The following is a 13,678-nucleotide window of genomic DNA, read 5'->3' as shown; positions in this document are numbered from 1 at the left end:
TGAGCAGAGAGAAATGATTGATCCAGTTGTGTGTACCTGAGTGTGAAGGAAGAAAACTGTATTTATCAAAGCCCTATGAACACCAAGCTCTGAAATACAACAGAAAACAAGGAAGATACAGCCCCTGCCCTCAGAGACTTAATGGTCTTGTGGAGAGACAGACATTTTACAAATAAGAGCCCAAATAATAATGAATTAACATTCTGATAAATGAGACAGCAAAAAGATACAGGTTGCAATGGAATAAGAGGGAAGGAGAGAAAATGTCAAACTGTGCCCGCTTCTTCAGTAGACCTGGAATAGATAGGTCTACAGAATAGAAGAGTAAGGTAGGTGATCTGGGAAATGGCCAGAAATGTAGGAATGAGCTTAGGAGTGTTATTTGTACAGCAGAAGAGGCTGAATGATTCTAACTATAGCGTATTAAAACTTGAGGTATCTCTTGCCAAATGGGATTTCTAAGTACTTTATTTTAGACAACATTTAGATATCTGCCTATGGATTTTGCCAATATGGCAAAATGATTTCATTTTAATTTGAGGTTGGGAGTGGGCAAGATACAGTAGAGATACTATCTCGTTTAAATGGAGATTGTCTCTCCCTCGTCTGATTACTGAGTTTGGTAAATATAGACTCACAGTGAACTTTTTAAAAATTCTTGTCCAGGCGCGGTGGCACATGCCTGTAATCCCAGCACTTTGGGAGGCCAAGGGGTGGGCGGATCACAAGGTCAAGAGATGGAGACCATCCTGGCCAACATGGTAAAACCCCATCTCTACTAAAAATACAAAAATTAGCTGGGCGTGGTGGCACATGCCTGTAGTCCCAGCTACTCGGAAGGCTGAGGCAGGAGAATTGCTTGAACCCGGGAGGTGGAGGTTACAGTGAGCCAAGATCATGCCACTGCACTCCAGCCTAGGCAACAGAGCCAGACTCCATCTCAAAAAAAAAAATTATTAAGGAGACCGATTTAAAGTAATAACTGATTTAAAAGTTAAATATTTTCCTACCTCTTCACAGTATATTTTATGGAATTTTTCTGTAAAGTATACATGACTTGTGGTCATAATCTCAAAGTAGAAGCAAACACTAAAATGTGTAAGATGGCAATATTCCATTTAGGAGCACAGAATTTTATCTTAACCTCTGTGAATCTGTTTCAATTGCAGCAACATTAATGGACTGAAAATCCAAAGTCATTAAAAATGTCTGGTATAATGCAAGGTGTGATATGTGTGAGTAGTACTTAACAAACTGTTTCTGTAGAGATTTCATGGGTTGTTAAGCTGTGATATGATTAACAGCATCCAAAATAAGTACTTAGCTTTTCATGCTTAGAAACAATTTTCATTTGGTTATGCAGGGGTGATGGATCTATTGTGTGCCGATGCTTCTTAAGAAGAGTGAATAGGTAGAATGAACCTCAGTTCTTCCCTAGTTCCATGATTTTGTGATTTTAGGCAAGTGAGTTAACCTCACTGTGGATGGGTTTCGTCAGCTGTATAATCAGGAAGTGAGCCAGTAGCCATACTGCTGGGATGGTCTATTTGTTCATTTCAATGAGCCATCTCTTTCCCTAGTGATGTTATTCTTTGAATTGGCTTTCTTGATTACTTCTTTTCTAGTATTGGGGCACCTACTAAACAGAGAGAGCCATCTGAATGCTGCTGGATGCACATGAATCCAGGACTAAAGGGAATTACTTGGAGATACTTCCCCTTGAATGCAGCAGATCCTAAGGAAGAGCTCCTACTCCTTGCCGAATACACCTTGTGAGACAGCTAAGGGCTGTCCCACTTGGGTCTCCTTTCATGAAATATTTTGCTTCCAACTGCAGAGAGGGCAGTTATCTGATAGCCTCCAGTTGCAGCACCCTGAGGATCCACCAAAGCTTTTCAGCTGAGGCCAAGCTTTTTCTGGGCAATCCTGAAAGCACTGGCAGAATGGAATCCATAGGGCCAGGGTGCTTCTGCCCAGTGGTTCTGAGTAACTCATTGGGTTGGCAGAGCCTTGTCAGATCTGCATCACAGCCTAAGGCTGCCCCAGTCCAATGCTGCTTTCTCCTCCCTTTCTTATCACAGAGGACTGGTAAGCATCAGAGCTGAAAGGCTTTTTATGCCATTCCTGCTTCTTTGCGCTGTGTTTCAAGGGTATTCTTTCCCTCCACCAGCTTCCCAATGAACCTCTTGCATTTCTAAATCTGTCTCGGTGTCTGCTACCTGCAGAACCCAAACTGATATTCCTTTCCAGTGACTAATCAGTATGTCTACTGGATTTCATGTCCCTGTATCCTGCCTAATACAAGCAATGGTTACTTTTTCACTAATTACAATATTAACCTCACTCTAGTCTTCCCTCTCTATAAAGGTTTATTAAGAAAGCCAATCATAGATTTATACCCACTTTCTGAAAACACCCAATCCAGATCAAATCCCCACTTTCTTAAGCCTTTCTCCAAAGTCTCCTAACCCACAGCCTGAATCCTGTAATAGGTTCTTTCTAACACTCTTACTGAGATGCCCCACTGTTCCCCATGGTATACATTCCTCCCGGCCATGGAGATAAGAAATCCAATTTGTTTAGCTACAGGTGTATTCTTTGTGGTCTTTGCCTAGAGGACATTGAAAACAGTATAATTTATCTAAGAAATTACTATGTCTCCTGTATCCATTCATTTGTTCATTTATTCACTTATTCATCCCACAAACATTTTTTGAGCACCTCCTTTGTGCTGGAGACTGCTAGACACTATTGATTTGAGATTGACTGTATACTGCTGGCTAGAAAAGCCTGGCAGAGATAAGAGCTGCTATGTATTACATACTGATTATATGTCTGGCACTGCTCTCAATGCTTTATATAGGTTACCTATGTAAGGGTGCCTTACCTTAGCCTCCAAGGTGAGAATTGTTATTTCATTTCTACAGATGAGAAAATTCAGGCTCAGAGAAGATAAATCAACACAGCTGGAAAGTGGCAGAAACAGGATTTGCACAGCTTCAAAGTCCTCCATGAGTTCTTTCAAGGAGGCTGAACTCCCTGAAATCAGGCTGTGCACAAAACTGCCTCATTTTATTCCAAGTAAGGTTGGCCATATGTAGAATGAAAGAAAAATGATAGCCGAAATTTGTCATTTAAAAACCAGCTTTTTTTTTTTTTTTTTTGAAATGGAGTCTTGCTCTGTCGCCCAGGGTAGAGGGCGGTGGCACAATCTCGGCTCACTGCAACCTCCAGGGTTCAAGAGATTCTCCTGCCTCAGTCTCCAGAATAGCTGGGACTATAGGCATGGGCCACCATGCCTCCCTAATTTTTGTGTTTTTAGTAAAGACGGAATTTGACCATGTTGGGCAGGCTGGTCTTGAACTCCTGACCTCAGGCACTCTACCCACCTCGGCCTCCCAACATGCTGGGATTACAGATGTGAGCCACCGTGCCCAGCCAAAAAACTCAGTTTTTATTATTTATTTATTTATTTTTATTGAGGAGGGATTTGTGTATGTTCAGAACTATAAAATCTGTGGAAACACATCCTTTTTCTGTGTAACTAATGATAACGACTTCATTATCATTAGTATACCAACACAAAGTTTGTCATTATATTAATATTTTAGCATGTTAGTATATAATTAGTCATTATATTAGTTAGCTCAAGCTGCCATAACAAAACACCATAGGTTGGGTGGCTTTAACGACAGAAATTTATTTTCTTACAGTTGTGGAGGCAGGAAAGTCTAAGATCAAGCTCCAGCAGAATTCAGCTTCTGGTGAAGGTGCTCTTCTTAACCTATAGAGAGTCACCTTCTTGCTATGTGCTCATATGGCCTTTTCTTGGTGCATGGAGAGAGAGAGAGAGAGAGAATGCACAAGCAAGCTCACTGGTGATTCTTCTTATGAGGGCACTAATGCCATCATGGAGGACCCACCGTCACGGCCTCATCTGACCCTAATTCTATCGCAAAGGCCCTATCACCAACTATCATCACACTGGGGGACACGGCTTCATACGTGTGAATTTTGGGTGTTACAAACATTTCGTCTGTAACACATGGTCTCATCTCTGATGAAGCACCTGAGATTTTAGAGTATCTGTTTTACACATGGCACCCAGCGTTCACAGGGGTGTTGGGAAAAAGCCTGCAGAACAGAGTGCCCTTCAAACTTTCTTGTTTCTTCTTTCTAAATCCAAAGCAACTGCACAGCACCATAGATTCTGAAATTGTGCTGTATTTAGTGTGGGCCTTTCATGAATATTTCATAAGCAGTTCCATTTCCATGGGTGGTGAGGAGACCACTGGATAGAAGGTAGTGGCATGACTGTCTAACTCAGTTCCAGCTTTATTCACGGAATTGGGCAGGTTCTAGCAGCTAAATAGAAGGGAAAAGGTGAAGAAAGGGCAGAGCATTGGGCCTCTCAAATAGCTCTTGCAAATTATGTGATATTCTAGCCAAACCACACTCCTTTTAAATTCTGTAACTCCTAGTTACAAAATTCTCAAATTAAACATGTTAAATTATCTTTTTCTTTAATTTTAAAAATTAAAATTAAATACACATACAATGATATTTGTATGATAACATATATAAAACACAAAGAATAAGAATAAAATGAATACCCATAGACCCAGTTTGAAAAATGGAATATCAACATCATTTTTGACACTTCCTATGTGCTCTTTCTGATCCAATCCCTCCTTTGTTCTCTCCCCAAAAGTAATCACTGCCCAGAATTTTGCATTTTTAAAAATCCCCTTGTTTTTCTTCATAGGTTTTACTGCATATGTATACTAAAATCATATACTTTTAGTTTTACATGTTTTTGAACTATATAAAAATAGGAAACAAGACTTTCTTTAGCTATTTACTATGATTACATGTCCCATTTCGAAGTGTTACCAGAAACATAATTTTTAGAAAACTTCAAAGACATCTCATTTCAGAAAATGTTCTTTTCCTCTGCTTCTATTAAGTGTAAATTTGAAGAAAAAAAAGCAATAGCTATGCTGAATGTTTTTCATTGTAACTATCGACCCATCAAGTCCATGGGGTGTGTGTGTTGCAGGGGTGGAGGGAGGATGAAAGTGGGAGAGGAAGAGGGAAGGAGATAGGGAGGGAGCACACACACCTTTTCCTTGACTCTTTGCTTGTGAGATGATACAAGACCAATAAATCAGTGTTCCATCCCCCAGCCACAGAGGTAGGTTCAAGGGTAATCATATGACCCAAGTTAGGTCAGTAAGCATCAAACCTTGGCCTTTTGCCAGAACTATTAGGGAGGCACATTGTTTCCACTGAAAATACAATTACGCTTTATTTCTTAGACTTTTGAAATCATGTCTCAAATAATTAAAGAAACCAATGACTAACAGAAATTCTTGAGTTTGCAGGATGGCAAATAAGAAAAGAAACAACTTGCTGAAATGCTGCAACTCCCTCCACTTGTGAAATAAAAGAACCTGCTGAAATTGAACCAAGATGGCCACCAGGAGTTTGGGCAGAAGGAGCTTGTTGATGTCACAGCCTGAATTTCCACTGCATGTTTTATACTAACTCCCCTCACATTTGCACATGAAACCCATGAAGTAACATGAAGAAATAACTGTGCACGCTCAAGTACTTTCCAAACTTCTCCTTTGTTTCCACTAATTACCCAATAATCTCAGAATCCACCTCCTAACCTTTTCTAATAAAAATACTGCCTGAAAGCCAGCAGAGGGAGACAGATTTGAGCTTGACTCATGTGTCCTTGAGAGTTGACTTTCTTTCTTTTCTTTTAAGCCATACTTTTTTTTTTTTAAAACCATTTGTTATAGGAATAAAACAAAGATGTGTGAGACCTATATGAAGGAAACTGTAAAACTTTACTGAAATTCTTTTTTTTTCTTTTTTTTAAAAATTATACTTTAAATTCTGGGATACATGTGCAGAATGTGCAGGTTTGTTACATAGGTATACACATGACATGGTGGTTTGCTGCAGGCATCAACCTGTCATCTACATTAGGTATTTCTCCTAATGCTATCCCTCCCCTGGCCCCCCACCCCCGACAGGCCCCAGTGTGTGATGTTCCCCTCCCTGTGTCCATGTGTTTTCACTGTTCGACTCCCACTTATGAGTGAGAACATGTGGTGTTTGGTTTTCTGTTCCTGTGTTAGTTTGCTGAGAGCGATGGTTTCTAGCTTCATCCATGTTCCTGCAAAGGACATGAACTTATCCTATTTTATAGCTGTATAGTATTCCATGGTGTGTATGTGCCACACTTTCTTTATCCAGTCTATCATTGATGGGCATTTGAGTTGGTTCCAAGTCTTTGATATTGTGAAGAGCACTGCAATAAACATACATGTGCATGTGTTTTTATAGTAGAATGATTTATAATCTTTTGGTATATACCCAGTAATGGGATTGCTGGGTCAAATGGTATTTCTGGTTCTAGATCCTTGAGGAATCACCACACTATCTTCCACAATGGTTGAACTAATTTACACTCCCACCAACAATGTTAAAGCGTTACTATTTCTTCACATCCTCTTCAGCATCTGTTGTTTCCTGAGTTTTTAACGATCACCATTGTAACTGGGGTGGAGGGTATCTCCTTGTGGTTTTGATTTGCATTTCTCTAATGACCAGTGATGATGAGCTTTTTTCATGTTTGCTGGCTGCATAAATGTCTTCTTTTAAGAAGTGTCTCTTCATATCTTTTGCCCACTTTTTGATGGGGTTGTTTGTTTTTTCTTGTAAATTTGTTTAAGTTCTTTGTAGATTCTGGTTATTAGCCATTTGTCAGATGAATATACTGCAAAAATTTTCTCCCATTCTGTAAGTTGCCTGTTCACTCTGATGATAGTTTCTTTTGCTGTGCAGAAGCTCTTTAGTTTAATTAGATCCCATTTGTCAATTTTAGCTTTTGTTGCTGTTGCTTTTGGTGTTTTAGTCATGAAGTCTTTGCCCATGCCTATGTCCTGAATGGTATTGCCTAGGTTTTCTTCTAGGGTTTTTATGGTTTTAGGTCTTACATTTAAGTCTTCAATCCACCTTGAGTTAATTTTTGTATAAGGTGTAAGGAAGGGGTACAGTTTCAGTTTTCTGCATATGGCTAGCCAGTTTTCCCAACATCGTTTATTAAATAAGGAATCCTTTCCCAATTGCTGGTTTTTGTCAGGTTTGTCAAAAGATCAGATGGTTGTAGATGTGTGGCGTTATTTCTGAGGCCTCTGTTCTGTTCCGTTGGTCTACATATCTGTTTTGGTACCAGTGCCATGTTGTTTTGGTTACTGTAGCTTTGTAGTATAGTTTGAAGTCAGATAGCGTGATACTTCCAGCTTGTTCTTTTTGCTTAGGATTGTCTTGGCTATATAGGCTCTTTTTTGGTTCCATATGAAATTTAAAGTAGTGTTTTCTAATTCTGTGAAGAAAGTCAATGGTAGCTTGATGGGGATAACATTGATTTTGGGCTGAGACGATGGGGTTTTCTAAATATACAATCATGTCATCTGCAAACAGAGACAATTTGACTTCCTCTTTTCCTAATTGAATATCTTTTATTTCTTTCTCTTGCCTGATTGCCCTGGCCAGAATTTCCAATACTATGTTGAATAGGAGTCATGAGAGAGGGCATCTTGTCTTGTGCTGGTTTTCAAAGGGAATGCTTCCAGTTTTTGCCCATTCAGTATAACATTGGCTATGGGTTTGTCATAAATAGCTCTTATTGTTTTGAGATACATTCCATCAAAACATAGTTTATTAAGAGTTTTTAGCATGAAGGGGTGTTGAATTTTATTGAAGGCCTTTTCTGCACCTATTGAGATAATTATGTGGTTTTTGTCATTGGTTTTGTTTATGTGATGTATTATGTTTCTTGATTTGCACATGTTGAAGCAGCCTTGCATCCCAGGGATGAAGCTAACTTGATAGTGGTGGATAAGCTTTTTGATGTGCTGCTGGATTCAGTTTGCCAGTATTTTATTGAGGATTTTCACATCGATTTTCCTCAGGGAGATTGACCTGAAATTTTCTTTTTTTTGTTGTATCTCTGCCAGGTTTTGGTATCAGGATGATGCTGGCCTCATAAAATGAGTTAGGGAGGAGTCTCTCTGTTTCTATTGTTTGGAATAGTTTCAGAAGGAATGGTACCAGCTCTTCTTTGTACCTCTGGTAGAATTTGGCTGTGAATCTGTCTGGTCCTGGGCTTTTTTCATTGGTGGACTATTAATTACTGCCTCAATTTCAGAACTTGTTATTGGTCTATTCAGGGATTTGACTTCTTCCTGGTTTAGTCTTGGGAGGGTGTTTGTGTCCAGGAATTTATCCATTTCTTCTAGATTTTCTAGTTTATTTGTGTAGAGGTGTTTATCGTATTCTCTGATGGTACTTTGTGTTTCTGTGGGATCAGTGGTCATATCCCCTTTATCATTTTTTATTGTGTCTATTTGATTTTTCTTTCTTTTCTTCTTTATTGTCTGGCTAGTGGTCTACCTATTTTGTTAGTCTTTTCAAAAAAACACCTCCTGGATTCACTGATTTTTTGAAGGGTTTTTTGTGTCTCTATCTCCTTAAGTTCTGCTCTAATCTTAGTTATTTCCTGCCTTCTGCTAGCTTTTGAATTTGTTTGCTCTTGCTTCTCTAGTTCTTTTAATTGTGATGTTAGGGTGTCAATTTTAGATCTTTCCTGCTTTCTCCTGTGGGTATTTAGTGCTATAAATTTCCCTCTAAACACTGCTTTAAATGTGTCCCAGAGATTCTGGTGCATTGTATCTTTGCCCTCATTGGTTTCAAATAATGTATTTATTTCTGCCTTATTTTCCTTATGTACCCAGTAGTCATTCAGGAGCAGGTTGTTCAGCTTCCATGTAGTTGTGTGGTTTTGAGTGAGTTTATTGATCCTGAGTTCTAATTTGACTGCGCTGTGGTCTGAGAGACTGTTATGATTTCCATTCTTTTGCATTTGCTGAGGAGTGTTTTACTTCCAGTTATGTGGCCAATTTTAAAATAAGTGCGATGTGGTGTGAGAAGAATGTATATTCTGTCGATTTGGGTGGGGAGTTCTGTAGATGTCTATTAGGTCCGCTTGGTCCAGAGCTGAGTTCAAGTCTTGGATATCCTTGTTAATTTTCTGTCTTATTGATCTGTCTAATATTGATAATGGTGTGTTAAAGTCTCCCACTATTATTGTGTGGGAGTCTAAGTCTCTTTGTAGGTCTCTAAGAACTTGCTTTAGGAATCTGGGTGCTCCTGTATTGGGTGCATATATATATTTACAATAGCTCTTCATGTTGCATTGATCCCTTTACCATTATGTAATGCCCTTCTTTGTCTTTTTTGATCTTTGTTGGTTTAAAGTCGCTTTTATCAGAGGCTAGGATTGCAACCCCTCCTTTTTTTTCTTTCCATTAGCTTGGTAAATAATCCTCCATCTCTTTATTTTTAGCCTATTCGTGTCTTTGCAAGTGAGATGGGTCTCCTGAATACAGCACACCAATGAGTCTTGACTCTTTATTTAATTTGCCAGTCTGTGTCTTTTAATTGGGGCATTTAGCCCATTTACATTTAAGGTTCATATTGTTACATGTGAATTTGATCCTGTCTTTATGATGCTAACTGATTATTTTGCCCGTTAGTTGATTTAGTTTCTTCATAGTGTCAACGGTCTTTACAATTTGGTACATTTTTGGGAAAACACACCAAAAGGTACCGGGTTTTCCTTTCCATATTTAGTGCTTCCTTCAGGAGCTCTTGTAAGGCAGGCCTGGTGTTGACAAAATCTCTCAGCCTTTGCTTGTCGGTAAAGGATTTATTTCTCCTTCACTTATGAAGCTTAGTTTGACTGGATATGAAATTCTGGTTTGAAATTTCTTTTCTTTAAGAATGTTAATTATTGGCCCCCACTCTCTTTTGGCTTATAGGGTTTCTGCAGAGAGATTTGCTGTTGGTCTGAAGGGCTTCCCTTGCGTAACCCGACCTTTCTCTCTGGCTGTCCTTAACATTTTTTTCTTCATTTCAGCCTTGGTGAATCTGATGTGTGTCTTGGGGTTGCTCTTCTCGAGGAGTATCTTTGTGGTATTCTCTGTATTTCATGAATTTGAATGTTGGCATGTCTTGCTAGATTGGGGAAGTTCGACTTTCAATATAAAGCTTTTCTTTTCTCAAAAACCTGATGTCATAGTATTGACTTCTAATGCATTGGGCAGCGAGCCCCTTTTACTCCATAATACTTTTAGATGGTCACCGTCAATATAACCCAAATTATGTAGATAATCTTGACTATAACAGCATAATGATTTTGCTGAAACAAGGCAAATAAGTATAAACAATTTTAAAGAGCAGATTTTAATAACATAAAAATTTTCTCTTCATTTTATTACCCAATCACACATCACTAACTCACTCAGATTGAGCCACCATCTACAGAACACCCAGATTTGTGCAATAACAATTAAATTCAGTCATCCTTAGTCATATTCTAGATATAGCTTCACATACTTTTTAAAATTTTGTTGTTATGAATGCATATTTATTGAGATAGTAGGATAGAACATATTTTATTTGACAGCATTTTGGCTTGAGTTCTATTTTTATAATATTTGGACATATGAAGTATGGGCCTCCATTTTTACTTTTGCCCTGGGCCTATGAATTGTTAAGTCTAGCTGACTGGAACCGGTTTCATCACTACAGAATCCCTAAATTCAATCCTTAATTTTTCTGCAGTTCTTCCTCTTCATCTCCCTCTATTTCCGTTAGCATTTCCTGGTTTTTCACAAATTTAGCCATGTGTCTACTCCTGCTGCTTCTGGTGGCTTCCCATATGAATCTGTCAGGTCGTGCTGGCCCCTGTGATCACTGCTGCCTGTGCAGAGACATCGGGCTTCACCTCCGGAGGGCAGAGGCTAAAGAGGATTGTTTTGGGGGCACCAGTGTGTGTGTGTGTGTGTGTGTGTGTGTGTGTGTGAAAGAGAGAGAGAATTGGAAAGAGATGGGTATGGAACAAAGCTAGAAATAATGAAAAGAAAATGATGATGAGGAGATACCTTGAAGGAAGGAGTAAGTAAAAATAAAATGTACATATATACAAAATGATGATGGATGAGGATTTGTCTGTCTTAGAATTTCAAAGTGAAAAAAAAGAGCAGATGTGAGTGTAGGGTTTGGAGCATAATAACAAAGGTGGCATTGAGAGCTATCTCTACATCAGCAGTCATGGGAAGCTCACTTTTGGAATTGCAGATATTCAGACTCAAAATTTCTTTAACTTACAGAGCAAATGTTAGCCAATTTACTTTAACGGATAAAGCAGAATTTTACTTATATTTTAGCCAAAGCCCAGTCAGATTCATTAAGAGGGTATAACCACTGCTTTATGAAAATTTGACCCTTCTTGTCTTTCTCCCCTGCCTTACTTCAGGCTAAGATTCCTAATAATGTGAAATCCTCTCAATGAATTGGTCAAGAGAAGTATGGTCTCATCAGTCCAGATGTCCTTTTGAAAGACTTTTAATAATAAAAATCAGAAGTCGGCCGGGCGCAATGGCTCACGCCTGTAATCCCAGAACTTTGGGAGGCTGAGGCGGGCAGACCACGAGGTCAGAAATGGAGATCATCTTGGCTAACATAGTGAAACCCCATCGCTACTAAAAATACAAAAAAATTAGCCGGATGTGGTGACATGCACCTGTATTCCCAGCTACTCGTGAGGCTGAGGCAGGAGAATCACTTGAACCCAGGAGGCAGAGGTGGCAGTGAGCCGAGATCACGCCACTGCACTCTAGCCTGGGCGTCAGAGTGAGACTCCGTCAAAAAAAGAAAAAAAAAAAAAGGTCTGGGCAATGGCTTGGGTCTTCAGAACATCAGTAGGCACTAAAGGCATTTAAAGATGAAAGGAAATACCTACACTCTCTTCTTAACAGCTGTAGTCTCAGAATCAGCACTCTGCTTCATAAACAGAAATGGGGAGAAATGAGATAAAATAATGTTAATAAAAAAAGTTCAGGGGAACAACAGAAACAAGAGGAAATATACAAAGCAGGGGGTTGTGGAAGCATCCTTACATTGTCACCCTAGTGTTGTGACTCCAGTATGGGGACAATTAGAACCCCAATGAACACTATTCCGGGACCAGAGAAAATGTAATAGGATAATTATGCCGCAAACTATGATTGTTATGTTTAGAATTCCTGCCTAGGAAAGGAGATATAGGAGTGCATTGAGAGCTCTCCTACTGTGATCTGAGAATCAAACACCTGCATTAGCATCACCTGGGTTCTTGTCATCATTATTCTTGGGCCCTACCTGAGACCTACTGAAGCAGAAGCTCTGAGATCAGCGTCTGGGGATATGCATCTTAAACAAATTCCCCAGGAGGTTCATATTCACAATGAAATTTGAGAATGACTTGCTTAGAGGATAACTAAGAACACAGATATTATTTTACCTGCCTCCTAATATCTTTTCTTGTGTTTATCTCCTTGTGCTTTGACTGATGAGAAATCAAGTAGCACTAAAGGATTCCATGGTAAACTCAGAAAATCTCTGCGAAACAGAAGTTTACTTTCCTACTGTGTCTTCACGGAAGAAGCCAGCTTGACATATGGAGGTCTGTTTGAATATCCTCATTGACATGATCTTATCTAATTTTGAGTTTGAATAATTACAAGTTACAGACATTTATTAAGCTCATGAGCATGGAAGAGCAATGAATATAAGTAAGATATGATGAAGTATTTAGTAAAAATGCCAATATAAGCTCTGAATCTGTGATGTGTGGATAGGGTAACTACAGTCACCCTTATCTGTTCAATAAGGCCAAACTCAGCTGAGCTATTCATTAAAGCTGGATCCAGCTATGTAATGGTTGCATAACAGGATATTGAAATAGAAGCATCAGATAACTAAGTGACTTGTGAAAGAACACTGATTGAATTTGAAAAACGTAGGTGGCTGAGAACTAGTTGACATATGGCCAGATAAAAGAGGATTTAAGGGACGAAAGCACTTTTTGGAGAGAACGGTTTATGTGTTGTGAGCCCTACCTTCCTCCAAAGAAGAAGGATAGGGCTTTCCTTTTCATCTCAATGCAAGGGAGGTATTGCAATGGACTGAATGTTTATGTTCACCTGAATTCATATGTTAAAGTTCTGGCCCCCAAGGTGATAGTATTGGGAAATGGGGCCTTTGGGAGGTGATTAAGGTCACCCTTATGATAGGATCAGTGCCCTTACAAAAGAGACCGAAGAGAGACCTCTTGCCTTTCTGCCATGTGAAGTTAGAGTGAGATGTCCCTCTGTGCAGAAGCAGGCCCTCACCAGACATTGAACCTTCCAGCACCTTGATCTTAGACTTCCCAGCCTCCAGAAGAGTGAGAAATAAGTTTCTGTTTTATAAGTCACCCAGTCTGTGGTATTTTGTTATAGCATCCTGGACTGATGAACATAGGTGCTCTAAAGAGATCACTGAGAGTTTACCAAGATTACTATGAGTCACTGGTAGTTTCAGTGGTTCACAGTTACTATTTGGGGACCTTGCCTGAAAATATAGTGAGCAAAAGTCCATCTGCTGATGGATGAGCTGATGGATCAATGTTCTGGAATTTGCCTGCTACAACAGGGTTGCTCTAAAACATGCCCACGTGTTTCCTTTGCTTCAGATGTGCACCACATGCAGAAAAATTGCTGGACTAGAGTTGTCT

At 39.3% G+C, this 13,678-nt stretch overlaps 1 long non-coding RNA gene across 2 annotated transcripts; it reads left to right on the top strand.

Annotated features, from left to right (window-relative positions):
- Window positions 1-1,178: 1,178 nt before the first annotated feature.
- Window positions 1,179-5,711, top strand: LOC105377278 (uncharacterized). Of its 2 annotated transcripts, none has more exons than XR_938880.2 (3): window positions 1,179-1,235; window positions 2,928-3,081; window positions 5,385-5,711. It is a non-coding gene; the product is annotated as an uncharacterized LOC105377278 (long non-coding RNA). The 2 variants fall into 2 exon arrangements; XR_938881.2 differs by lacking the exon at window positions 1,179-1,235 and adding an exon at window positions 1,973-2,088.
- The last annotated feature ends 7,967 nt before the right edge of the window (window positions 5,712-13,678 follow it).

Source organism: Homo sapiens, chromosome 4 (assembly GCF_000001405.40).
Source record: "Homo sapiens chromosome 4, GRCh38.p14 Primary Assembly".
Taxonomy (NCBI): domain Eukaryota; kingdom Metazoa; phylum Chordata; class Mammalia; order Primates; family Hominidae; genus Homo; species Homo sapiens.
Note: the sequence above shows the minus strand (reverse complement) of the source record. Positions and strands in the feature narration are given on the sequence as shown.